Source organism: Homo sapiens, chromosome 16 (genome assembly GCF_000001405.40).
Source record: "Homo sapiens chromosome 16, GRCh38.p14 Primary Assembly".
NCBI classification, from domain to species: domain Eukaryota; kingdom Metazoa; phylum Chordata; class Mammalia; order Primates; family Hominidae; genus Homo; species Homo sapiens.
The window spans coordinates 3,687,017-3,713,625 of NC_000016.10; the positions used below are offsets into that span (position 1 = coordinate 3,687,017).

General features: G+C 47.7%; 1 protein-coding gene across 3 annotated transcripts in view, besides 1 other annotated feature; it reads right to left on the reverse strand.

Moving 5' to 3' along the window:
* The window catches only part of TRAP1 (TNF receptor associated protein 1), a 59,488-nt gene that overhangs the window by 28,980 nt on the left and 3,899 nt on the right, over window positions 1–26,609 (reverse strand). The window contains exons 1-3 of one of the 3 annotated variants that reach the window (XM_011522345.3): window positions 23,369–23,386; window positions 3,811–3,969; window positions 2,039–2,121 (exon numbers count right to left, since the gene is read on the reverse strand). Coding sequence is in view for 2 of the 3 variants with exons in the window: in NM_016292.3 (NP_057376.2) it covers window positions 2,039–2,121; window positions 3,811–3,969 (242 nt within the window). In the remaining variant the exon portion in view is untranslated. Of the gene's footprint in view, window positions 1–2,038; window positions 2,122–3,810; window positions 3,970–23,368; window positions 23,387–26,609 lie in introns of those variants that run through there. The other 2 variants (NM_016292.3, NM_001272049.2) reach the window with 2 other exon arrangements.
* Window positions 9,204–9,704: an enhancer, noted in NCBI's record as "H3K4me1 hESC enhancer chr16:3746221-3746721 (GRCh37/hg19 assembly coordinates)". NCBI's record gives its function as "activates a minimal SCP1, AML or CMV promoter by ChIP-STARR-seq in naive H9 embryonic stem cells {active_cell/tissue: H9 hESC(naive)}" and the evidence as "EXISTENCE:reporter gene assay evidence [ECO:0000049][PMID:30033119]".

A 26,609-nucleotide genomic window follows, 5' to 3' on the forward strand; every position in this document is an offset into this window, starting at 1 on the left:
CTGCACAGGGATGACGGCATATCACTCAAACATCCATTTCTCCTTGATATGGTTTGGCTGTGTCCCCACGAAAATCTCACCTTGAATTGTACTCCCATAATTCCCACGTGTTGTGGGAAGGACCTGGTGGGAGATAAGTGAATCATGGGGGCCGTTTCCCCAGTACTGTTCTCGTGGTAGTGAGTAAGTCTCATGAGATCTGACAGTTTTTTGGGGTTTCTGCTTTTGTGTCTTGCTCATTCTCTCTTTGCCTGCTGTCATCCATGTAAGACGGGACTTGTTCCTCCTTGCCTTCCACCATGACTGTGAGACTTCCCCAGCCACATGGAGGTGTAAGTCCAATTAAAGCTCCTTCTTTGGTAAATTGCCCAGTCTCAGGTATGTCTTTATCAGCAACGTGAAAATGGACTAATACACTCCTACTCCACAAAAACAGGTTCCCTAGCTTCATCTCATCTAGTGGGGACCACCAAACACCAGGTCTACCACACCCGGAGAAAAACAGGCCTCAGGGCCCAGCTGTCCCTCAGGAGCTGAAAAGCACACTGACCTCAAACAGACCTTCCATTTAAAATCAGTGAGAGAGGCCGGGTGTGGTGGCTCACACCTGTGATCTCAGCACTTTGGGAGGCTGAAACAGGCAGATCACCTCAGCCCAGGAGTTCAAGACCAGCCTGGGCAACACGGCAAAACTCCGTCTCTACAAAAAAATACAAATATCAGCCAGAGGCTGAGGAGGAAGGATGGCTTGAGCTCAGGAGGCGGAGGTTGCAGCGAGCCGAGATCATACCACTGCACTCCAGCCTGGGCGTCAGACCCAGACCCTGTTCCAAAAAATTAAAAAACCAAAAAAAAAAAAAACAAAAACCCACACAATTAAAAATAGAAAAATTAAGTCCGCAAGAGCACATAGGTGAAGAGGAAGCGGTGGCTGATCTGGGCGGAAGCTGGAGGTCACTGGGAGTCAGGAATGCAGCACTCATCAGTACGAAACCCGGAAACAGCTCCTAGAAGGCCCTCTGAGCTTTGAAATCTGCTGCTTTACAAACTTTCTTCAGGACTCTCCTTTGCCTTCCAGCAATAATCAGCATGTCAACGATGGTGGCCTTCATCTTTCTTTTTCCTTGTCCTGTCACCCCAAATGAGTTTTGCGGGGTTTTTTTTAATAGAGATGGGGTCTCTTCACGTTGCCTAGGCTGGTCTCAGACTCCTGGACTCACACAATCCTCCTACCTTGGCCTCCTAAAGTGCCGGGATTACAGGTGTGGGTCACCGCACCTGGCCCCAAATGCGTTTTAATTTCCTCAGTAACTCCTCCCTGCTCCATACACACAGGACTGGGGAACCTTCTTCCTCCGGCAGCCAAAGCCGCCAAGACCTGCAGGTAGTCCCACCAGGCAAAGGGGCCTCAGAGCGTATCCAAAGCTCCACAGAGACGGAATTCAGCAGAGCTGCACGCTAGGATTTGGGGGACTTTTTTTTTGGAGAGAGGGTCTTACTCTGTTGTGCAGGTCAGTGTAGTAACACAATCATGGCTCACTGCAGCCCCAAAGTCTGCCAGGCTCAAGTCATCCTCCCACCCCAGCCTCCTGAGTAGCTGGGACCACAGGTCAGTGCCCCCATAGCTGGCTAATTTTTTAAATTTTTTGTAGAGACGGAGTCTTGCTGTGTTGACCAGGCTGGTCTCAAACTCCTGGGCTCAAGTGATCCTCCTGCCTCGACCTCCCAAAGCACTGAGTTCCCAGGCATGAGCCACCACACCAGGCCTGTATTTCGGGAACTTTTAAAATTATTGGCAAAATTCAATTAATTCCCAGAGTTGATCCAGCCCAAAGAACCATCTGGATACACTTATCCAGGAAACCAAAACAGATTCTGGTAAAACTCCTCTCACTGGTAGCTTAAGATGAGGACCTGTCCAAAGTTTAATGCTTTCTCACAGCTAATATATTATCTGGCAATTCTCCAGAATGGCATAAAAACCAGCTTTGTGAAAAGAAACTTTGCTAGCATCGGGCATGGTTAGCAGGGAACGCACCTCTTTTTCTGAGTACAGGGACCGGGCAACAATGTCCAAAAGCTTCTTTGTCTCGGCCTGGAACTCATGTTTGGAAGTGGAACCTAGTAATGAAACACAGACACAACCAACAAAGTTTAACTTCTATTTTTGTGCAAGAATACGCTACGTCACATTCCAAAGAAAGCTTAAGTTTATGAGTTTTAAACTTTTTTTTTTTTTTTTTTTTGAGACGGAGTCTCGCTCTGTCACCCAGGCTGGAGTACAGTGGCACGATCTCGGCTCACTGCAAGCTCTGCCTCCCGGGTTCACGCCATTCTCTTGCCTCAGCCTCCCGAGTAGCTGGGACTACAGGTGCCTGCCACCACGCCCGGCTAATTTTTTGTAGTTTTAGTAGAGACGGGGTTTTACCATGTTAGCCAGGATAGCCTCGATCTCCTGACCTCATGATTGGCCCGCCTCGGCCTCCCACACATTTAAGATCATGAACAAAAAGAAAGAAGCAGACAGAAACAAAGTCTGGCTGGGCACCATGGCTCATGCCTGTAATCCCAGCACTTTGGGAGGCCAAGGCAGGAGAATCACTTAAGCCCAGGAGCTCAAGACCAGCCTGGGCAACACAGAGGGATCCCGCCATCTCTACAAAAAATACACAAAGTAGCTGACGGTGGTGGCACACACTTGTGGTCCCAGTGACTCAGGGGGCTGAGGTGGGAGGATCACTTGAGCCAGGGAGGTCGAGGCTTCAGTGAGCCATGATTGCACTACAGCACTCGGCCTGGGTGACAGAGAAAGACCCTGTCTCAAAACAAAACAAAACAAAAAGTCTCTCAGAAAGGAGGTCTCAGGGCAGGACAAATCCTCCCACTGCTGAGGCCAGACATGCCTCGGGCTATGTCGAGGGAATGCTGAGCCTGGTTTCCCAATGTGCATGGTTACGAGAACTGGACTGCCTCTAAGAACCAGATTATATGTTCTTTCTTTTTTTTTTAGAGGCAGGATCTGGCTCTGTTGCCCAGGCTGCTATGCAGTGGCAGGATCGTGCTCACTGCAGCCTCAACTTCCTGGGCTCAACCGATTCTCCTGCCTCAGCCTCTCAAGTACCTGGAACCACTGGTGTGTGCTACCATGCCTGGCTAACTTTTTAATTTTTTTCTGTAGAGAAAGGGTCTATCTTGCCCAGGTTGGTCTCGACCACTTGGCCTCAAGCAATCCTCCTGCCTCGGCCTCCCAAAGTGCTGGGATTACAAGTGTGAGCCACTGTGCCTGGACTATATTCTTCAAAAAAGCGGTTTCCAAATTAATTAGTTAGAAATCAAAATAACAAGAAAACCTCACTTCTCTTTTTAACTTCAAAGATTCTACTCTTGTCGACCCACTTAAAAGCCAGAAATGGAGCCACTTCAGGACTGGCTCCAAAGACTGCTTTTTTATACTTCAGAGGGAATGAAAAGACAGCTCCAGAATTCGGTCCTGCGCAGACTGGGCCAATGCTGAGTTTCCCCTCCCGCTTCCATGATTATTAGCAGATGTGCCATGAATCACCACTCAGGGGAGGTGCCGGACGGCAAACTCACGGGTGGCCACCAGAGGGGGCAAGACACACCCGACACTGGCAGAAGTCCCTCGCTGGGACAGAAATGGAGGGCGCAGCACTCCCTACAGCCAAGACCTTCTGATTTCACACCTAAGGCGGTGGCTCTACCAATCACTGCCTCCACCCTGAAAATGCCCCTTTACGCACAGCAGTGAACCAAAAAGCCCTCCCAGACCAAAGCACGAGCCAAGGCTACCCTGCACGCTCTCTGTGCTGCTGATAATCGAGTGCAGGGGTTCCTCCTTGTCCTCGGCGGTCTGCGTGCTGAACAGTCGTCCTGCCTGCAAGCTCCAGGCTGGGTTTCGCCTGGGGCCCAACTGGGCTGTGGTCCTCCGAGGACACAGAATTGGTTTTCCTGAAAAGACAAATATGCAGAAAGAATGAGAATTAGGAAGACACGAGAAACAATATGGTAATTCGTCCCATCAAGGGTGTCTAGCAGAAGCTAGCGTGGACATCTCTAAGTCGGGCTGTTGCTGAAAGAGAAATCCACAGGACCAAATGCCACAGTGTCAGGGTGTGGTTTTGGCAAGGAGCCCTCACAGATGTCATCAGTGTAAGATACTGTGTCTTCTCAGAACCGCAGAAGCGAAACTGGAGGGGGTGGGCTGCTGCCTTCTTTTCAGAGGGGGTCTCGCTCTGTCACTGCGATCACAGCTCACTGCAGCCCCAACCTCCTGGACTCAGGCAATGCTCCTGCCTCCGCCTCACGAGTAGCTGGGACCACAGGCACAGACCACCATGCCCCCATAATTTTTTAAAAAATTTTTTGTAGAAATGGGGTTTTGCTATGTTGCCAAGACTGGTCTCGAACTCCTGGGCTGAAACCATCTTCCCGCCTTGGCCTTACAAAGAGCTGGGATGACAGGCGTGAGCCACCATGCCCAGCTGGCAGATGCCTGCTGACAGCACTTCCCACATTCGCCTCACGGGTGACACCTCGCATCAACCTACCAAACTGAAACCTGTCTCGACCCTCGCAGCCCCTGCAGAAGCCCCCGATGGGCCACACTTCTTTGCTCTTGACAGTCAAGCAAAAAAAAAATCCTCCCAAAAGGGATCCAAATATTTAAATGTTAATATTCTGAAACTGTCTCATCTTCTAAAAGTTGATTCTTTCCCATTGCTTTTTCATCCAAAACAGATTTTTTAAAAAAAATTTGTGTACTTTAAAAACTGAAAAACAGCTGACGATGGGTTCTACCTTCTAACTAAGAAGGAGACTTGTCTTCTGTAACTTCCTGCTCAGTCCAGTGGGCTGAGAAAGTTGCCGGCAGAGCCCAGCGAGGGAGGAAAGCAGCCAATGTGTCCCCAGCCGCACGCAGTTCACCGACGCAGGCCCAGAAACCAGACACTTTCACTCCAACACAGGACTGGACCGACCCAACACCAACACCCACTGACCCCAGGGACCACATACCAGGACCCTGCCTTGGTCAGTAGATTTGCAATACGTGATGGTGTCAAGGATATGTGGCCAGCCAGCCACGCCGTGTCAAAGTCTAAGCCTAAATGAACCGCATCTAACTGGGAGCCTCTCCTGTTCTTCACAAATTTGTAACAAGTAGAAAGGAAAGACAACAGAATATCCAGGAATCAAGGTTTTAAAAATCAGCATATCAGCCAGGGGTGCGGTGGCTCACGCCCGTAAACCCAGCACTTTGGGAGGCTGAGGTAGGCGGATCACATGAGGTCAGGAGTTCGAGACCAGCCTGGCCAACATGGAGAAACCCCATCTGTACTAAAAATACAAAAGTTAGCCGGGCATGGTGGCAGGCACCTGTAATCCCAGCTACTCGGGAGACTGAGGCAGGGGAATGGCTTGAACTTGGGAAGTGGAGGTTGCAGTGAGCCGAGATCGTGCCGCTGCACTACAGGCTGGGTGACAGAGCAACATTCTGTCTCAAAAAAAAAAAAAAATTAACATATCAACTTTCATACTCCTAAAAGGTACAAAAACTTGCCTTTTTTTTTTTTTTTTTTTTGAGATGAAGTCTCACTCTTGTTGCCCAGGCTGCAGTGCAATGGTGCAATCTCGGCTCATTGCAACCTCCACCTCCCGGGTTCAAGCGATTCTCCTGCCTCAGCCTCCCGAGTAGCTGGGTTTACAGGCGCCTGCCACCACACCCAGCTAATTTTTGTAGTTTTAGTAGAGACAGGGTTTCACCATGTTGGCCAGGCTGGTCTCGAACTCTTGACCTCAGGCGATCTGCCCACCTCAGCCTCCCAAAGTGCTAGGATTACAGGCATGAGCCACCGTGCCCAGCCAAAACTTGCCTATTCTTTAGGCTTATTCCTGGACTTACAAACAGCACAAACCTGGCCTTTTGTTTTTGTTTTTTTTTGAGATGGAGTCTCGCTCTGTCGCCCAGGCTGGAGTGCAGTGATCTCGGCTCACTGCAACCTCCATCTTCTGGGTTCAAGCGATTCTCCTGTCTCAGCCTCCAAAGTAGCTGGGACTACAGGCACCAGCCACCATGCCTAATTTTTGTATTTTTAGTAGAGACGAGGTTTCACCTTATTGGTCAGGCTGCTCTCGAACTATTGACCTCAGGTGATCCACCCACCTAGGCCTCCCAAAGTGCTGGGATTACAGGCGTGAGCCACCATGCCCGGCCAACCCTAGCCTGTCTTTATCTCTATGCAGATACCTTAAAAACATCTACCACAATTCAGAAAGTATTCAAATTCCAAACCATGTAAACATCCAGTTATTTGGGCCCATGTAATTGCATTGTTCACTTTATTCGTACAGTTAAAAAAAAAAAAAAAATCCCGGGACATTTCTTCTGGAATTAAATGGTATTTGGCATTAGAGGAGTTCGCGAACAGTCTACATCAAACCAGGGTGCTGAAGTCTCTGTGCCTCCTTCCAAAGCACAGCCAGCCCTGGGGGCACAGGAGGGAAGTGTCCAAGTGCCAACACCTGCCCACAGAGCATATCAGTGTTTCTCACCATTTGTGTAAAAGAAACACAAAAAGGATAAACCAGAAACTGATGTGACTGTGTATTTTGTTTCCTAGGACTACTGAAACACAGCACCACAAACTAGGCAGTTTCAAAAAGGTCCACAGTTCTGAGCCAGGCACACAACCTCACACCTGTAATCCCAGCACTTTGGGAGGCCAAGGCAGGAGAATCGCTTGAGCCCAGGGGTTTAAGACCAGCCTGGGCAAGAAAGTGAGACTCCATCTCTGCAAAAAACACAAAAACTAGCCAGGTGTAGTGGTGTGCACCTGTAGTCCCAGCTACTTGTGAGGCTGAGGTGGGAAGATCACTTGAGCCCAGGATGTTGAGGCTGTAGTGAGCCAAGATCACACTACCGCACTTCTGCACTTCAGGCTGGGTGAGACAGCGAGACTCTGTCTCAAAAAAAAAAAAAAAAAGGTCCCAGGTTCTGGGCAGCGGTGCTTCCCACTGGAGGTGCCGAGGGAGAGTCCATCCCGCACCTCTCCCCAGCTTCTGGCAGTAGCCGGCATCCTTGGTGTTTCATGCTTTGCAGACCCTCCAGGCTCTGTCTCTTGTCACATGGCAAGCTCTTCTCTATGTGAGTCCTGGCTGTGTCCAGATTTCCCTCTTCTTATACGGATACCAGGAATACTGGAGTTAGGCCCCACCCCCATGCAGTGTGACCTCATCACAACCTGATACATCTGAAATGACCCAAATAAGCTCACACTCACAAGTACCAGGGATGAGGACGCGAACGTATCTTTCTCTTTTTTTTTTTGAGACAGAGTCTCGCTCTGTCATCCAGGCTGGAGTGCAGGGGCATGATCTCAGCTCACTGCAACCTCTGCCTCCTGGGTTCAGGCGATTCTCCTGCCTCAGCCTCCCTAGTAGCTGGGATTACAGGCACGCACCACCATGCCTGGCTTTTATTTTTAAAAGAGACATGGTTTCACCATGTTGGCCAGGCTGGTCTCCAACTCCTGACCTCAAGTGATCTGCCCACCTTGGCCTCCCAAAGTGCTGGGATTACAGACGTGAGCCACCATACCTGGCCTCTTTTTAAAAAAGAATAAAAATAGAGACAAGGTTTCTCTTTGTTGCCCAGCCTGGTCTTGAACTCCTGGACTCAAGTAATCCTCCCACTTTGGCCTCTTAAAGCACTAGGATGACAGGTATGAGCCACTGTACCCGGCCTTCAAACCCCACAGCTTGGTTACCTACAGGAGGTGTGTATTAAACTCCCCGTGGCACAAACCCGGTAGCTTACAGTAACAGACACTTATTCTCTCACAGTCCTGGAAGCAAGAAGTCCAAGATCAAGGTGCCACTAGGGCTGGTTCCTCCTGAGGCTGGGAGGGAGGGTCTGTTTGCGCCTCTTCCAGCCTCTGCAGCCTCTGGCGTTGCTTGGCTTGTGGGTGGTCATCTTCTCCCTGTGTCTTCCCTTCAGGACGTCTGCCCTTCTCCCTCTACACATGTCTGTCTGTTCAAATGTCCCCATTTTATAAGGACACAGTCATACTGGATTAGGGCCCACCCAAGTGAACTCATCTTAACTTGATCACCTGCAAAGACCCTATTTCCAAATATGGTCACATTCACAGGTACTGAGAGCTGGGACTTCAACATCTTTCGTGGGGAGACACAATTCAACCCCCAACCAGCATATGTACAGAGAATGCAAAGAAAGCGGGAAGGGGAGAGGGCTGGCAGAGCTGAGGGAACATGACACTTCCACATACATCTTTTCGTATGTCTCTCTTAGAACCATGGTCAGGTTTCTCATACTCAAAAAACAAACCATTACTTAGCCAGACGTGGTGGCGCACTTCTAGTTATCAGCTACTCGGGAGGCCGAGGTGGAAGGACTGCTCGAACACAGGAGGTGGAGGTTGCAGTGAGCCGAGGTCGCACCACTGTACTCCAGACTTGGCGACAGAGTGAGACTCTGTCTCGAAAAAAAAAAAAAAAGAAAAGAAAAAGAAAAAGAAAAAGAAACCGTGAAAACAAAACAGGGCGCACATGAACACAAAATGAAATACAAACAGCAAATATGCAGAGCTGTGACGATGACATCACCACTCTGAAAGAAGAACTAACCTAAGAGACTTCAGAAAATAGCACTTTGACTGTTACTGTAAAACTAACCTCAGAGGACAGCACACCATCACCAGGCTCGGGCAGGAGATGTGTCCCCTGCGGAGTCAGCAGGTCTGAGCCCGATTTACGCATGTGCCAAGATCAAGCGGAAAAGCTGATTGTGGCTACTGAGTTGGGGTCCTCACAGTTGAAGAAAAGTCACTGATAAGGAAGGGGCAGGAATAAACCCTGCGGGGCGGCACTGGAGGTACAGGCATCAGTACAGGCTCACAACCTTTGCCATGTGTACAGACTGGATGCAGAAATCAATACCGGAACATTTACACACACACATTTCCCAGCTCTGTCCACTGACGCGTGACAGGGCCCAGGCGCGATGACCCCCCACTTAGGCTACAGAGAGCAAAGTCCAAAAGCTGTTCCAGTTTCAGCACTCTAAAGTCCCACGTCCCAGGGAAAGCCTTTGTCCTGGCAAACTAGGACGGCTGGTCACCCTACCTGGCAGCCAGATCTTGGTTTGTGAATACCTCTCTCCAAAAACAGGAACCAGAGATCCCTGCGGAGCACACAGAGGAGCCTAGGACACCCAGTGGTGTGCAGAAGGACGAGAAAGGACGGGGTGTGTCAGGAGAACACACAGCCCAGCCAGAAGGGCTCCCAGTGGCAGAATCTAGGACAATCTGTGCGGCAAAATAACGAACGACAATAATGGATTGTAAGCTGTGACCCGGCAAATCAAGCAAACATCGGTGCACACTTAAACAGAGGAGGAGCAGCAGCTCTTCATCACAGCAGAATTCCAATGAATAAACACAAGGAATGGCAGAAAACAGAAAGCACACCATCAGGAAACACCACAGCAATAACTGGCTGGTGTAAGTTACTACTATTTTGAGACAGGGTCTCACTCTGTTGCCCAGGCTGGATCACAATGGCACAATCACAGCTCACTGCAGCCTCGACCTTCCCGGGCTCAGGTGATCCTCCCACCTCAGCCTCCTGAGTAGCTGGGACTATAGGCCGTGTATTACCACTCCTAGCTAATTTTTTTTTTCTTTTTTTTTTTGACTGGGTCTCACTCTGTCGCCCAGGCTGAAGTGCAGTAGAGTGATCTTGGCTCACAGCAGCCTCAACCCTCCGGATTCAAGTGATCCTCCCACCTCAACCTTCCGAGTAGCTGAGACTACAGGCTCATGCCACCATACCCGGCTAATTTTTGTGTTTTCTGTAGAGACAGGGATTCACCATGTTGCCCAGGCTGGTCTCAAACTCCTGAGCTCAAGTGATCCCCCGGCCTCTGCCTCCCAAGCGCTGGGATTAGAGCCGTAAGACACCACGCCCAGCCTAAGGTTATGTATTTGAAGCAGTGGTAGATACTGCCAAGTCACACTCCACAGAGATCCTATCAGTTTACGTTCCCACAGCAATGTACTAAAGTGCATATCATCCTACATTCCTGCCAAGTCAGTGTTGAGATGAAACTCTTGGATCTTTGCCTATTGGTCAGATAAAATTTTCACTGCAGTTTTCACTTACATTTCTCTTATTATAAGCAAAACTGAGCACTGTCCCGTATTTTTAAATATTTCCTATTTCCTTTTTTGTTAAGGGACTGTTGGTATCCTCTGATAATTTTTCTACTACATTTTAAATCTTCTTCTTATTGATTTGTAAGAGCTTTTTATATATTAAGGAAATTAGTCGCCAGGAGCGGTGGCTCACACCTGTAATCCCAGCACTTTGGGAGGCCGAGGCGGGAGGATCACGAGGTCAGGAGATTGAGACCATCCTGGCTAACACGGTGAAACCCCGTCTCTACTAAAAATACAAAAAATTAGCCAGGCGTAGTGGTGGGCGCCTGTAGTCCCAGCTACTTGGGAGGCTGAGGCAGGAGAATGGCATGAACCCGGGAGACGGAGTTTGCAGCGAGCTGAGATGGCGCCACTGCACTCCACCCTGGGCAACAGAGCAAGACTCTGTCTCAAAAAAAAAAAAAAAAGGAAATTAGTCTTTTGGTTGTAAAAGCCTTCCTCACTCTAAGATTAAACATGATTTCCCCATGTTTCATTTTTCTAGTCTTTTTGGTTTTTCCCCAATTAATATGCAGAATTTTTTTTTTTTTTCCTCGAGAAGGTCTTGCTCTGTTGCCCAGAGCTGGAGTGAAATGGCGTGATCTCGGCTCACTGCAACCTCTGCCTCCCAGGTTCAAGCAATTCTCCTGCCTCAGCCTCCCAAGTAGCTGGGATTGCAGGTGTGCACCACCATGCCCGGCTAACTTTTGTGTTTTTTTGTTTTTTTGTTTTTCTTTTTTAAGTAGAGACAGGGTTTCACCATGTTGGCCAGGATGGTCTCGAACTCCTGACCTCGTGATCCGTCTGCCTCAGTCTCCCAAAGTGCTGGGATTACAGGCACAAACCACTACACCCAGCCTATATTTTTGAAAGGATTTAATATAATATTCATTATGGGAGGAGTATATAGAAGTCCTCACAATTGGGAAAAAGAAAAAAATAAGAAATCTATATTTCCAGCCAGAATTGCAAGACTTAGTATCATAACGCCAAGATTACATTAATTGAATTGACAGCATTCTTAAAAGCAGATTTGATTTCAGGTTATGTAAACTTTCCACAACAACTTTTTTTTTTTTTTTTAGAGTCTCACTCTGTTGCCCAGGCTGCAGTGCAGGGCGCCATCTCGGCTCACTGCAAGCTCCGCCTCCCGGATTCATGCCATTCTCCTGCCTCAGCCTCCCAAGACTACAGGCGCCCGCCACCATGCCCGGCTAATTTTTTGTATTTTTAGTAGAGATGGGGTTTCACCGTGTTAGCCAGGATGGTCTTGATCTCCTGACCTCGTGATCTGCCCGCCTCAGCCTCCCAAAGTGCTGGGATTACAGGCGTGAGCCACCGCGCCCGGCTTCTACAACAACTTTTAATCACTAACTCAGGTGCAGTGGCTCATGCCTGTAATCCCAGCACTTTGGGAGGCCAAGGCCGGGGGGTCGCTTCAGCTCAGGAGTTTGAAATTAGCCTGGGTAACATGGCAAAACCCCATCTCTACAAAAAAACAGCCAGGTGTGGTGGTGCATGCCTGTAGTCTCAGCTACTTGGGAGGATCACTTGAGCCTGCAAGGCAGAGGTTGCAGTGAGCCAAGATCACGCCACTGCATTTCAGGGTGGGAGATGCAGCCAGGCCCTGTCTCAAAAAAAAAATTAAAAATTAAAAAAAAAATAAACCATTAGAGGAATAAATCTGCCTGAACCAGATACCAAACACGCTAGCTGTACAATTTCCGTCTTTGTGTTTCTCCTACACCCTAAAGGAAAAACCACAAACCTCAATGTCAGGCTACAAGATCTTACTGTTAAACTATCTGGTGGTTTGGGGTCGCACAAAATGGGAAGCACTGATAGTTTGAATGTGACACCACACACCCCTCCCCTTCCACCCCCCACATCCCTACCCACTACTGCCAGTGCCCATGCAGCTCCTCCACTCTGCAGCTGCAGTCTCAGTAGCTGGGACTCCTTCCCATCCGAGTTGCTGCAGGGCCTGGCTGCAGGCCCTCTCTCCCATTCAGGCCTCCCTGGCCCCAGCAGTTCACAATAATCTCTTCCTATGAGTTCACTGCACTTAACTTTTTATGCTGCCCATTTAAAAAAATTTTATACTGGCCAGGCGCAGTGGCTCACACCATAATCCCAGCACTTTGGGAGGCCGAGGCGGGTGGATCACCTGAGGTCAGGAGTTCAAGACCAGCGTGACCAACAGGGTGAAACCCCATCTCTACTAAAAATACAAAATTAGCACTGGGTGCCTGTAATCCCCGCTACTCGGGAGGCTGAGGCAGGAGAATCACTTGAACCCACGAGGCAGAGGTTGCGGTGAGCCGAGATTGTGCCATTGCACTCCAGCAGCCTGGGTGACAAGAGTGAAACTCCGTCTCAAAAAAAAAAAAAAAAAAAAAAGATTTATTCATGTATTTACTATTTCTTTCTTTCTTAGAAAAGAGATTGCTCTGTCACCCAGGCTGGAGTGCAGTGGTACAGTCATGGCTCACTGCAGTCTTGAACTCCTGGGCTCAAGGGACCTTCCTGCTTTACTCTCCTGAACAGCTGGGACTGCAGGTAAGCACCATCACACAGGACTAAATTCTTTTTTTTTTTTTTTTCCTAGAGATAGGGTGTTTCCATGTTGACCAGGCTGGTCTTAAGCTCCTGGTCTCAAGCAATCTTCCTACCTTAGCCTCCCAAAGCTGCTGGGATTACAGGTCTGAGCCACCACGCCCAGCCTGTGCTGCTCATTTGAAACTGCTGCTATATGCCAGCATATGACATTTCCCACTGTTAATTTTTTGGTTAATGTATAATTTATCTCACCAAATTAGGGCAGGAAAAAGCTTGTATTTCTCAGTAACACTCTTTGAAGACAGGAACATCCATATTTCTTGGTATGCCAAAGTATCTATCACAAAAGCTACTCTTTACAAACTTTTTTTTTTGAGATGGAGTTTCCCTCTTGTTGCCCAGGCTGGAGTGCAATGGCGCGATCTCAGCTCACCCCATCCTCCTCCTCCCGGGTTCAAGCGATTCTCCTGCCTCAGCCTCCCGAGTAGCTGAGATTACAGGCATGTGCCACCACGCCTGGCTAATTTTGCATTTTTTGTAGAGACGGGGTTTCTCCATGTTGGTCAGGCTGCTCTCTAACTCCTGACCTCAGGTGATCCGCCCACATCGGCCTCCCAAAGTGCTAGGATTACAGGTGTGAGCCACCACGCCCAGACTTTTTTGTTTGTTTGTTTGAGATGCAGTCTCACTCTGTTGCCCAGGCTGGAGTGCACTGGCACAATCTCGGCTCACTGCAAACTCCGCCTCCCAGTTCAAGCCATTCTCGGGCCTCAGCCGCCCGAGTAGCTGGGACTACAGATGCACATCACCACGCCAGGCTAATTTTTATATTTTTAGTAGAGATGGGGTTTCTCCATGTTGCCCAGGCTGGTCTCAAACTCTGGGGCTCAAGGGATCCTCCTGCCTCAGCCTCCCAAAGTGGTGGGATTACAGAAGTGAGCCACCGCACCTGGCCAAGGGTGCATATTTCAAACACCAGAGTAACCACTAAAATAATAATTCAAAGAAGAATAGCTTTAAAAAGCATTAGATAAACCACAATGGAAATCTCAAATACATTTCATTGATAAGGAAAGGAAAAACAGGGAAAAAATCCAAAAGGACAAATAAAAGGCAAATAATAAAATGGTAGCAATAAATCCAGCCACATCGATATTTACTCTTACATTAACAGACTGAACTCTAATTATAAGGCAAGGATTGTCAGAATTGGTAAAGGAAGACCTAATTACATGCTATCTACAAGACACTTTAAACATAAAGAAAAAGATACACTTAAGACAAATGAATGGAAAAATACATACCATCCAAAAAGTGTGTTTAAGAAAGCTGGAGTGGCTCTATTAATATCAAGTAAAATACATTTCAAAATAAAAAATATTATTAGGAAAAAAGAAGGATATTTCAGAATACTACAACAAACAATTCATCAGGAAAATGTAATCACAAGTGTGTATTTGCCTAATAACAGAGCTTCAACATATATGAAGTTAAAACGGAAAGAATTAAAGACAAAACAATTCCACAATCACAGCTGGAGATCTTAACACTCCTCTCTCAATAACTGACAGAATCAAACCAAAAAATAAAACAGAAGCCGGGCACAGTAGCTCACGCCTGTAATCCCAGCACTTTGGGAGGCTGAAACAGGAGAATCGCTTGAACCCGAGGCAGAGGTTGCAGTGAGCTGAGATCGCGCCCCTGCACTCCAGTCTGGGTGACAGAGTAAGACCCTGTCCCAAAAAAAAAAAAAAAAAATAGCCAGACAGTCCAGAAGAAAAACCTGGGGCAAAAGATATGAACGGCATTTCACAGTGGCTACAGAAAGCGAAGGAGCACCAAACTATATATGAACACAGCAAGCTCTCCACGAGCTATGTAGTGAGTAACAGAACACAGAGAAGGGTGCGTCCCTGAGGGAATATGTACATCTGCACTTACTACAGTCATACAAGTAAGTAGTGGCAGGACCCACAGGCAACTAATAGTGGTTATGAAGACAGCAGGTGCTCTGAACAGCAGCAAGACTTCTCAAGCTTTACCTGTTCACATGGTTTTGGTTAATCAAACCATATTTATTTATTCAAAACAGATATTAAATTATTAAAAATATGAGGCTGCCCGGCACGGTGGCTCACACCTGTTATCCCAGCACTTTGGGAGGCCAAGGCAGGTGGATCACAAAGTCAGGAGTTCGAGACCAGCGTGGCCAACATGGTGAACCCTGTCTCTACTAAAAATACAAAAATTAGCTGGGTGTGGTGGCGTGCACCTGTAATCCCAGCCTGGGCGACACAGTGAGACTCCATCTCGGGCGGGGGAAAATATGAGGCTGTCACAAAAGTGCTAATGTTTTCCCTGCTGTCGATGTTGAGGTCACTTGAAAGCTGGTATGGACACATCGGATGAGGAATTCAGTCTAGGGGCCTCTTAGGAGCCAAGGCCCAATGACTAGACTAAGTGGACCCAGCAAACACAGAGGGAGGGGGCCTGAGGCACAAACACAGACAAGGTCCTATGCTCGAGGCAAACAAGGACGAGGTACAAGGTGAGAGCCAGAAGGGGCCACTGTGCTGCTTCACAGACCTGGGAAGAAGTTTTTTGAGAAAAGACTTTCATTTTTCAAGAGGCAGATCATTTTAAAGAATAAGGCCTAGGGCAGTGGCTCACACCTGTAATCCCAGCACTCTAGGAGGCTGAGGCAGGCAGATCGCTTGAGCCCAGGAGTTTGAGACCAGCATGGGCAAACTGGTGAAACCCCGTCCCTACCAAAAATACAAAAACTTAGGTGGACATGGTGACACGCACCTGTAGTTCCAGCTACTTGGGGTACTTGAGGCGGAAGGATCACTTGAGACCAGAGGGTAAAGGCTGCAGTGAGCCGAGATCACACCACTGCACTCTAGCCTGGGTGACAAAGTGAGACCCTGTCTTTAAGAGAAATTTAAAAAGCTGGGTGCGGTGGCTCACACCTGTAATCCTGGCACTTTGGGAGGCTGTGGTAGGCGGATCACCTGAGGTTGGGAGTTTGAGACCAGCCTGACCAACATGGAGAAACTCCATCTCTACTAAAAATACAAAATTAGCCAGGTGTTGTCGTGGATGCCTGTAATCCCAGCTACTTGGGAGGCCGAGGTAGGAGAATCGCTTGAACCCAGGAGGTGGAGGTTGTGGTAAGCCAAGATGCTGCCATTGCACTCCAGCCTGGAGAACAAGAGTGAAACTCCGTCTTGAAAAAAAAAAAAAAAAAAAAAAAGCATTCAGTAAGATGGTAGAATACAAAAATCAACACCCGGACGTCCTATATACAGAAAACTAGTTAGAAAATATGACATAAGAGACCCCAGGAACAAAAACTAAACAATTAAGAATGCATTTACCAAGAAAGCAAAATCTTTCCTTTTTTTTCTTTTTTGGCAAGATCTTTTAAGAAAACTCTGAAACACTACTAGGGCCAAAGACTGTCATTAAATAACCCACTTAAGACTGTTACATATGCTACATACTCACAAGCGGAGGACTAACAAGTAAACTACAGACGTAAGGTAACACTTGGAAAGCATGGGATTATAGAGAAATGGGACAATGCTGTGTAATGTGTGCTGATGCTGAATTACCTCTAACACAAAGAAAAAACACTAGAGGTAGAACAGCGGTTTGCACACACTACCATGGTGTTCAAATGCATATACATGTTATGTGATACATGCATGCATAGCTATTCTCATATGCCACGCAGATCTCTGCAAGGACACCCAAAAACTGGCTAATGGACTTGCCACCAGGAGGGGTGTTGTCTGAGGCATGTCAGTGGGAGACGAGTTTTTCATCAGATATACCTCTGTATCGTTTGCATATTGGACTACATATATCAATAATCTACAAAATAAATACCCTACTTATAAAACTATTTACAAAAGTTAGGCTGGGCGCGGTGGCTTACGCCTGTAATCCCAGCACTTTGGGAGGCCGAGGCGGGCAGATCACGAGGTCAGGAGATCAAGATCATCCTGGCTAACACGGTGAAAGCCAGTCTCTATTGAAAATACAAAAAATTAGCCGGGCGTGGTGGCGGGTGCCTGTGGTCCCAGCTACTCGGGAGGCTGAGGCAGGAGAATGGAGTGAACGCGGGAGGCGGAGCGTGCAGTGAGCCGAGATCGCGCCACTGCACTCCAGCCTGGGCGACAGAGCGAGACCCCGTCTCAAAAAAAAAAAATCAAAAAACAAAACTATTTACAAAAGTTACATTACAGGCCAGGTGAGGTGCCTCACGCCTGTAATCCCAGCACTTTGAGAAGCCAAGGTAGGCAGATCAGCTGAGGTCAGGGGTTTGAGAACAGCCTGGCCAAAATGGTGAAAACCCGTCTCTACTAAAAATACAAAAATTAGCTGGGCATGGGGATGCACACCTGTAATCTTAGCTACTCGCGAGACCAACGCACTAGAATCGCTTGAACCTGGGAGGCAGAGGTTCAGTGAGCTGAAATTGCATCTCTGCACTCGAGCCTAGGCGACAGCACGACTCTGTCTCAAAACAAACAAAACGTTGCATTATAAAAAACACTTAAAAACTTACGAGAAACATAAACACATTTACAAAATTTCAAACACATTTTTAAACTATTCTCATTCTAAAATTCATGTGGAAAAGTTAGTGTACATAAATAGCCAAAGAAATTTTGAAAAAACTGAGGAAATTCATCAAATATTAAAGAACATTAATATAAAGCTACAATATTAAAATAAATTTCCAGACCAGGCATGGCTGCTCACACCTGTAATCCCAGCACTTTGGGAGGGAGATCCAGGCAGGAGGAGGCTCCCTCGAGCTCAGGAGCTCGAGGCCAGCCTAGGTAACATAGGGAGACCCCCCCAACTCTCAAAAAGTAAACACACACAAAAAAAGGTTAAATTAATTTCCAGCAGGGCACAGGGGCTCATGTTTGTAACCCCAGTGCTTTGGAAGGCCAAGTTGGGAGGAACACTTGAGGCCAGGAGTTCTAGACCAGCCTGGGCAACATAGCAAGACCAACCTCTTATTTTTTTTTTTTTAATTTCCGCTGTCACTTATTAAGTCAAAATGAATTCCAGATGGACCATAGAAGTAAAAATAAAAGCTAAAAGTACTGAAAGAAAACATGAAAGATTTAGTAACTTTATTGAGATGTAACACATCTGCCATATAATTCACCCAAGTGCACAATTCAGTGGTTTTAGTATATTCACAAAGTTGTACAGCCACGACCACTAACCACAGAACATTTTTTTTTTTGAGACGGAGTCTCGCTCTGTCGCCCAGGCTGGAGTGCAGTGGAGCCATCTGGGCTCACTGTAAGCTCTGCGTCCTGGGTTCATGCCATTCTCCTGCCTCAGCGTCCCGAGTAGCTGGGACTACAGGCGCCCGCCACCACACCCGGCTAATTTTTTGTATTTTTTTTTTAGTAGACACAGGGTTTCACCATGTTAGCCAGGATGGTCTCGATCTCCTGACCTCGTGATCCGCCCGCATCGGCCTCCCAAAGTGCTGGGATTACAGGCATGAGCCACCATGCCCGGACAACTACAGAACATTTTTATCACCCCAAAAGAAGCCCTACAGCCACTCATGTTCACTCTCTTTTCCCTCTCCCACCAGCTCTTGGCAACTACTCATCTATGTCTGTCTCTATGGATTTGCCTTTTCTGGGCACTTCACAGAAATGAAATCATACAATATATGGTTTTTTGTCTGGCTTCTTTGACTTAGCATAAAGTCTTTGGGGTTCATCCACATATAGCATGTATCAGCACCTCATTCCTTTTTATAACTGAAGAGCACTCCGCTGTATAGATTATTTTTTTCCATTCATCAAATGATGGGCAACTGGGTTGCTTCCAAATTTTTTGTGAGACAGAGTTTCACTCTCGTTGCCAGGCTGGAGTGCAATGACATGATCTTGGCTCACTGCAACCTCTGCCTCCCGGGTTCAAGTGATTCTCCTGCCTCAGCCTCCCGAGTAGCTGAGATTACAGGCATGTGCCACCACACCCGGCTAATTTTATATATATATATATTTTTTTTTAGTAGAGACGGGGTTTCTCCATGTTGGTCAGGCTGGTCTCAAACTCCTGACCTCAGGTGATCGGCCCACCTCGGCCTCCCAAAGTGCTGGGATTACAGGCGTGAGCCACCAGTCCCGGCCCTTTTTTTCTTTTTTTTTTTTTGAGACGGAGTCTCACTCTGCAGTGGTGTAATCTCCGCTCACTGCAACCTCCAATTCCCAGGGTCAAGTGATTCTCCTGCTGAGGCACCCGCCACCACGCCCAGTTAATTTTTGTATTTTTAGTAGAGACGGGTTTTGCCATGTTGGCCAGGCTAGTCTCAAACTCCTGACCTCAAGTAATCCACCCACGTTAGCCTCCCGAAGTGCTGAGATTGTAGACATGAGCCACTGCACCAGGCCCAGCTTCCAACTTTTTACTGTAACTTTTGTTTTGGGGTGGGGTGGGGGTCTCACTATGTTGCCTGGAGTGCAGTGGCTGTTTACAGGCACTGTCATGGTGCATGGTAGCCTCCAACTGGCAGGCTTAAGCGATCCTCCCACCTCAGCCTCCCAAGCAGGTGGGATTAGAAGGGCGCACCACCACTCCTGGCCTATTTGCACTCTTTTTTTTTTTTTTTTTTTTTTGAGATAGGTTCTTGCTCTTTGACCAGGCTGAAGTGCAGTGGCACAATCACAGCTCAATGTAGCCTCAAACTCCTGGGCTCGAGCAATTCTCCCACCTCAGCCTCCCAAATGGCTGGGACCACAGGCATGTGCCACCACACCCAGCAATTTTTAAAAATTTTTTTTCGAGATGGAGTCTCACTATGTTGTCCAGGCTGGCATTCAACTCTTGGCCTCAAGCAATCCTCCTGCCTTGGCCTCCTGAAGTGCTGCAATTACAGGCATGACCAACCGCACCCAGCCTCGTTTCCACCTTCTGATGGACCTTCAGATTGTTTTCATTTTCGGGTTATTATGAATAATGCTGCTATGAACATTCATGTGTAGGCTGTTCTGTGGACATGTTTTCATGTCTACAAGGTATGTGCCTCAGGGTAGAACTGTGGGGTCATATGGTAATTCGGTTTGACTGTGTGAGGAGCTGCAAGAATGTTTTCCTGCAGAGGTCGCACCGTTTTACATTCTCACCAGCAGTGTGGGAGGGTTCTGATTTTTCCACATCCTAGTTATCCATTTTGTATCACCTGTTTTTTTGTTGTTGTTTCTTTAATTTTTAATTATAGCCACCCTAGTGAGTAGGAAGTGCTAACTCACTGTAGTTTTGCTTTGCAGTTCCTAAACTGCCAGGCATCTTGAGTTTTTAAAAAAAATGATTTAAGAGGAAATCTTTTTTTTTTTTTTTTTTTGAGGCGGAGTCTCGCTCTGTCGCCCAGGCTGGAGTGCAGTGGCGGGATCTCGGCTCACTGCAAGCTCCGCCTCCCGGGTTCACACCATTCTCCTGCCTCAGCCTCCCAAGTAGCTGGGACTACAGGCGCCCACCACCACACCCGGCTAATGTTTTGTATTTTTAGTAGAGACGGGGTTTCACCATGTTGGCCAGGATGGTCTCAAACTCCTGAACTCGTGATCCACCTGCCTCAGCCTCCCAAAGTGCTAGGATTACAAGCGTGAGCCACCGCGCCCGGCCTTAAGAGGAAATGTTTCTAAACAAAATATATAACCCAAAAGGCCATAAATATAAGGACCACATAAAAATTTAAGTCAAAAGACAAACACCCGGGTGAGGTGGCTCATGCCTGTAATCCCAGCACTTTGGGAGGCTGAGGTGGGTGGATCGCCTGAGGTCAGGAGTTCGAGACCAGCCTGGCCAACATGGTGAAACCCCGTCTCTACCAAAAATACAAAAATTAGCTGGGAGTCGCAGCGGGCATCTGTAATCCCAGCTACTCCAGAGGCTGAGGCAGGAGACTTGCTTGCACTCGGGAAGCGAAGGCTGCAGTGAGCCAAGATCGTGCCACTGCACTCCAGCCTGGGCAACAGACAGAGCGAGACTCTAACTCAAAAAAAAAAAAAAAAAAGACAAACACATTAAGAAAAAAACTGGGGGCCAGGCACGACGGCTCCTGCGTGTAATCCCAGTACTTTGGCAGGCAGAAGTAGGAGGATCACTTGAGACCAGGAGTTCAAGACAAGCCGGGGCAATATAGTGGGACCCCATCTCTAAAAAAAATGTTTTTTAATTAGCCAGGCATGGTGGCACATGCTCCTTGGGAGGAAGAGGTCACAGCCACTTGGGAGGATGAGGCAGGAGTATCACTTGAGTCCAGGAGGTCAGGCCTGCAGCGAGCCAGGATCGCACAACTGCACTCCAGCCCGGATGACAAAGCAAGACCCTGCCTCTAAAATAAAATTTAGTGCCGTGGCTCACGCCTGTAATCACAGCACTTTGGGAGGTGGGGGCGGGCAGATCCCGAGGTCAAGAGTTTGAGACTAGCCTGGCCAACATGGCAAAACCCTGTCTCTACTAAAAATACAAAAAAAAACAAAAATTAGCCAGAAAGCCAGGAGCAGTGGCTCACACCTGTAATGCCAACACTTTGGGAGGCTGAGGCGGATGGATCATGAGGTCAGGAGTTCAAGACCAGCCTGATCAACATGGTGAAATTCCATCTCTACTAAAAATACAAAAATTAGCCGGGCGTGGTGACGGGTGCCTGTAGTCCCAGCTACTAGGGAGGCTGAGGCAGGAGAAATGCTTCAACCTGGGAGACGGAGGTTGCAGTGAGCCAAGATTGTACCACTGCACTCCAGCCTGGGCGACGGAGCGAGACTCCATCTCAAAATAAATAAATAAATAAATAAAAATAAATGAGCCGGGCATGGTGGCGCGTGCCTGTAATCCCGGCTACTTGTGAGGCTGAGGCGAGAGGACTGCTTAACCTCGGGAGGCGGAGGTTACAGTAAGGTGAGATGGCGCCACTGCACTCCAGCCTGGGCAACAGAGTCAGACTCTGTCTCAATTTTTTTTTTTTTTTTGAGATGGAGTTTTGCTCTGTTGCCGAGGCTGGAGTGCAGTGGTGCGATCGCGGCTCACTGCAAGCTCCGCTTCCTGGGTTCACGGCATTCTCCTGCCTCAGCTTCCCAAGTAGCTGGGACTACAGGCGCCCGCCACCATGCCCAGATAATTTTTTGTATTTTTAGTAGAGATGGGGTTTCACCGTGTTAGCCAGGATGGTCTCGATCTCCTGACCTCATGATCCGCCCGCCTCGGCCTCCCACAGTGCTGGGATTACAGGCGTGAGCCACCGTGCCTGGCCCGACACTGTCTCAATTTTTAAAAGTTATTTAAAAGGGCTAGCGCAGAGGTTACGGTGAGCCAAGATCACGCCACTGCACTCCAGCCTGGGCACCAAGTGCAAAACTCCATCTCAAAAAAAAAAAAAAAAAAAAGAAAAAGGCCATTGGTTCAAGAGAAAAATGGCCATTCACAAAAACAAGAAACATCAATGGCTTTACGTCCTAGTAAAAGATGTTTTACCACACTCATAACTAAGGAAATGCACTTTAAAACGAGATAGCATTTTCACTACCAGATTGACAGATGTTTTAAATACTGTCATTCTAGCACTGGTGAAGGTGTGAGAAACTGTTGGCAATGCCGTCTGTTATCTTGGGGAAACTCAGCAACAACCTAAATGTCCGCCATGAGAGGGTTACATAAATTACAAAACATCCTCGCTATGGAATACCAGAGCTCTGTGGCGACAGGAAACAAACCCCAGAATATAAGTGGAAAATGCAAGGTACGGAAGATTACACACGGTTCCTTCCCAGTTTACCTTTGTTTCCCTTTTTTTTGTGTGTGTGTGTGAGACGGAGTTTTCGCTCTTGTTGCCAGGCTGGAGTGCAGTGGCGCCATCTCGGCACACCACAACCTCCACCTCCCAGATTCAAGCGATTCTCCTGCCTCAGCCTCCTAAGTAGCTGGGATTACAGGCATGCGCCACCACGCCCGGCTAGTTTTGTATTTTTCGTAGAGACAGGGTTTCTCCATGTTGGTCAGGCTGGTCTCAAACTCCTAACCTCAGGTGATCCACCCGCCTCAGCCTGCCAAAGTGCTGGGATTACAGGCGTGAGCCACCGCGCCTGGCGAGAAGATTCTTAAGTACATGAACATTCTGAACAGAAAGACCTGTATTCCCTCACAAATGTCTGAGTTCTTAGCTCTGGCATTCTCAACACTCACTGTTTCTTGAGGTTTCCTGTGTTCCAGAACCTGGTCTAATCGTTCTCTACTATGATATACTGATACTTCATTCATCAGGAAACATAACTCCTTGAACATAAAGAAAAAGAACAAAAAGCGAAAGGGCACCTCGGAATAGTCAAAATATGGGCCTGAAGCCCTCACCCTGAGCTTTGCTCATGGAAGACTACTGGCCCCATATGAAATCCATCTCATTCTAACAATTTGATGCTAACAAGTTTCCCAGCCACATCTGCAAACTAGGAAAGGAGAGAACAGGGCTCCAGACAGACCTGCAAGTTAAGGCCACAGTAAGAGAGGCCAAAAATATAAACACTCACAATGCAGTTTTGATGTGGGGACACTTCATAGACGAAGGATTCTTCACATTTCAATGGCCCTACGGGAGCCTACATATTAAAACAGAAGACCAAACATTAACACCCGTAATAATGACCCTGAAAACATCCAAGAGAGGTTCAGTCATGGGCCATCAAATGATGGAGTGTTCTAGAAAGACTTCTCATCATAATGGTTAAAATGAAATGTTTTAAAGTCAGCCTCGTGGAAAATTCGCTTGAACATTCCATTGCCTGACAAATGCTGAAATACTGGCAAGTGTGAACTAACATGGCAATGTGCTGTCTTAATTTCTCCTTCGAGGTGCATATCACTAACCCGACACACATAGTTACATTAGAAGGACCCACGTCCTTCTGTCTTCTTCTCAGCAGCATTGCTGAATAGCCTCCTGCTCTTAATATGGCATTTAATTTAGCTATCTCAAAATTAATTTCTTTTATATGTGTGTGTGTATATATATATATATATATATATTTTTTTTTTTGAGACACTGTCACTCTGTCACCCAGACTGTAGTGCAGTGGCGTGATCACAGCTCACTGCAGCCTCGACTTCTCAAGGCTTAAGGGAGCCTCCCACTTCAGCCTCTTGGGTAGCTGGGACCACAGGCACACCCAGCTAATTGGAAAAAAAAAAAAAAGGGTTTTTTGGTAGAGATGGGGGTCTCTCTAGGTTGCCCAGGCTGGTCTCAAACTCCTAAACTCACAGGATCCTCCCGCCGCAGCCCCCAAAGTGCTGGGATTACAAGCATGAGCTACCAGGCCTGGCCAATTTTTTACCTTCTAGCCACATTTCTTAATTATATGGCTATGAAGTAACTGAGCCATTCCTTTTAAAACCAATGATTCAGCTACATGTCCTTTCAATCTACCCAATCTACAGGAATTCACCTGGTTAAAAAGCCAATGGCAGGGCTGGGAACGGTGGCGCACACCTGTAATCCCAGCACTTTGGGAGGCCGAGGCAGGCAGATCACAAGGTCAGAAGTTCAAGACCAGCCTGGCCAACATGGTGAAACTCTACCTCAACTAAAAATACAAAAATTAGCCGGGCACGGTAGTGCATGCCTGTAGCCCCAGCTACTTGGGAGGCTGAGGCAGGAGAACTGCTTGAACCCGGGAGGTGGAGATTGCAGTGAGCCGAGTTCGTGCCACTGCACTCCAGCCTGGGAAACAGAGCAAGACTCCATCTTGAAAAAAACAAAAAAAAAACAAAAACCAAAACAAAAACAAAAAAAACACAGGTGGCAGTAATACTCCCGCAAGTAGATACTGTTTCTCCAAGCTACAGCTTTTATGGTAATTCCTAGTGGTTTTAGCAGAAATAACCAGCCACACCACAAATAAACTCCCTGAAATCTATTTTGTTAAATGCTGTGGAACTACAGGGAAGCCACTTTGTGGACTAAGAGCAGCTTCCTAGTAGAAGGCAGGTCTTCAGTAGGACTAAGCAGGACGGTGGTAAGAAAAGTTCTAGCTGGCTACACTTGAGGCACCAAAAACGCCATCCATGAACATTCTCTGGCTTTGAACCCAAAAGCACTTTTTACTTCATTTGAGTATGAATGGATACATTTTCAATCGCTATCAAGATTCTTTGTCAGGCCCGACGTGGTAGCTCATGTCTGTAATCCCAGCACTTTGGGAGGCCAAAGCAGGCAGATCAAAAGGTCAAAAGATTGAGACCATCTTGCCCAACACGGTGAAACCTCGTCTCTACTAAAAATACAAAAATTGGCTGGCCATGGTGGCATGCACCTGTAGTCCCAGCTACTCAGGAGGCTGAGGCAGGAGAACTGCCTGAATTCAGGAGGCGGAAGTTGCAGTGAGCTGAGGTCATGCCACTGCACTTCAGCCTGGCGACAGAAAGAATCTGTCTCAAAAAAAAAAAAAAAAAAAAAAAAAAAAAAAAAAGATATGTCAGCATTTTGAGACAAGCAAGTATCACAGGCCTCAGTAACAGCCTCTTTCATGGAACTCACCTTTGTCACATGGTATTTACTGACATGGGGGGCAGGAGTAAATGTTTATTTTCCCACAGTTTTCTTATCAACCTGACACCCCCATCCCCACCCCGCAAGCTGCATTCCCTCTCTTCCTGCCAAGGGGTAGCAAAATACTTGGAGATTCCTCTTTTGTCTTAGCTTAGGCCAACTACTCACCCAGTAACCAATAAACGCTTTGCTAATCTCTTACATTCGGATTGATGTGTTTGTTTCCAAGACAGAGTCTTGCACTGTCGCCCAGGAGGGAGTGCAGTGGCACAATCTTGGCTCACTGCAACCTCCAACCTCCACCTCCCAGGTTCAAGCAATTCTCGTGCCTCAGCCTCCCAAGTATCTGGGATTACAGGCGCCTGCCACCACCCTGGCTAATTTCTTTGTATTTTTAGTAGAGACGGGGTTTCGCCATGTTGGCCAGGTTGGTCTCAAATTCCTGAACTCAAGTGATCCACCCACCTCGGCCTCCCAAAGTGCTGGGATTACAGACGAGAGCCACCGCGCCCGGCCTGATGTGTTCTTTTTCAGGCACTCAGATAACTCAGTTCCCTTGGTCCTAACTAAGCTGAAGGTCCTCCTGGTGGCCTTGGACAGCTGGGCCACACCTTCCTCTGCCGTCTAAGTGCCAGCACCACAGCTTAATCAGACGACAAACATGTCATGGACGCTACACCTCTAGCGTCATCTCAGCAACACAAAGAGCTGTTTCACAGACAGAGTCGCAACTGACCAGCAAGTACTACTCCCCTCCACTCTGAAAAGAACAGCCGGAGAGCACCAGAAATTCACCTGAATTCTCCTGAAGGGTGCAGCACACAAGACACGGAAATCAAACAGCACAGGCTCCAAACAAAGGGAGAGCAGAGGGAGGAGGCAAAACCCGTCAACAAAACGAAGTACTGAAGGGGAGGGCGCAGCAGGCAGGCACCACCTACAGGAGCGGGGTCCAGGTGAGGCTCTTTTTGGAAGATGAAACAAACTAGCTAGTACTTGAGCCCTGAGCAAAGTGAGGAAACCAGCTCTCCCGACCTTCCTGGTGCTGGCAGGGGACCTACTCTCACAACTCTGATTTCCAAGACAGGAAGTTCCAGCAAAGGCTCCAGCTTACAGAGAACAAAAAGGCCCAAGATCTTAACGCCTGCACCAACCAGTCCTATCGTGGTTGCCTCAGTCATGTTCTGGCAATTTCACGAAAACAAGAGCATCTGGCATGACCAGGA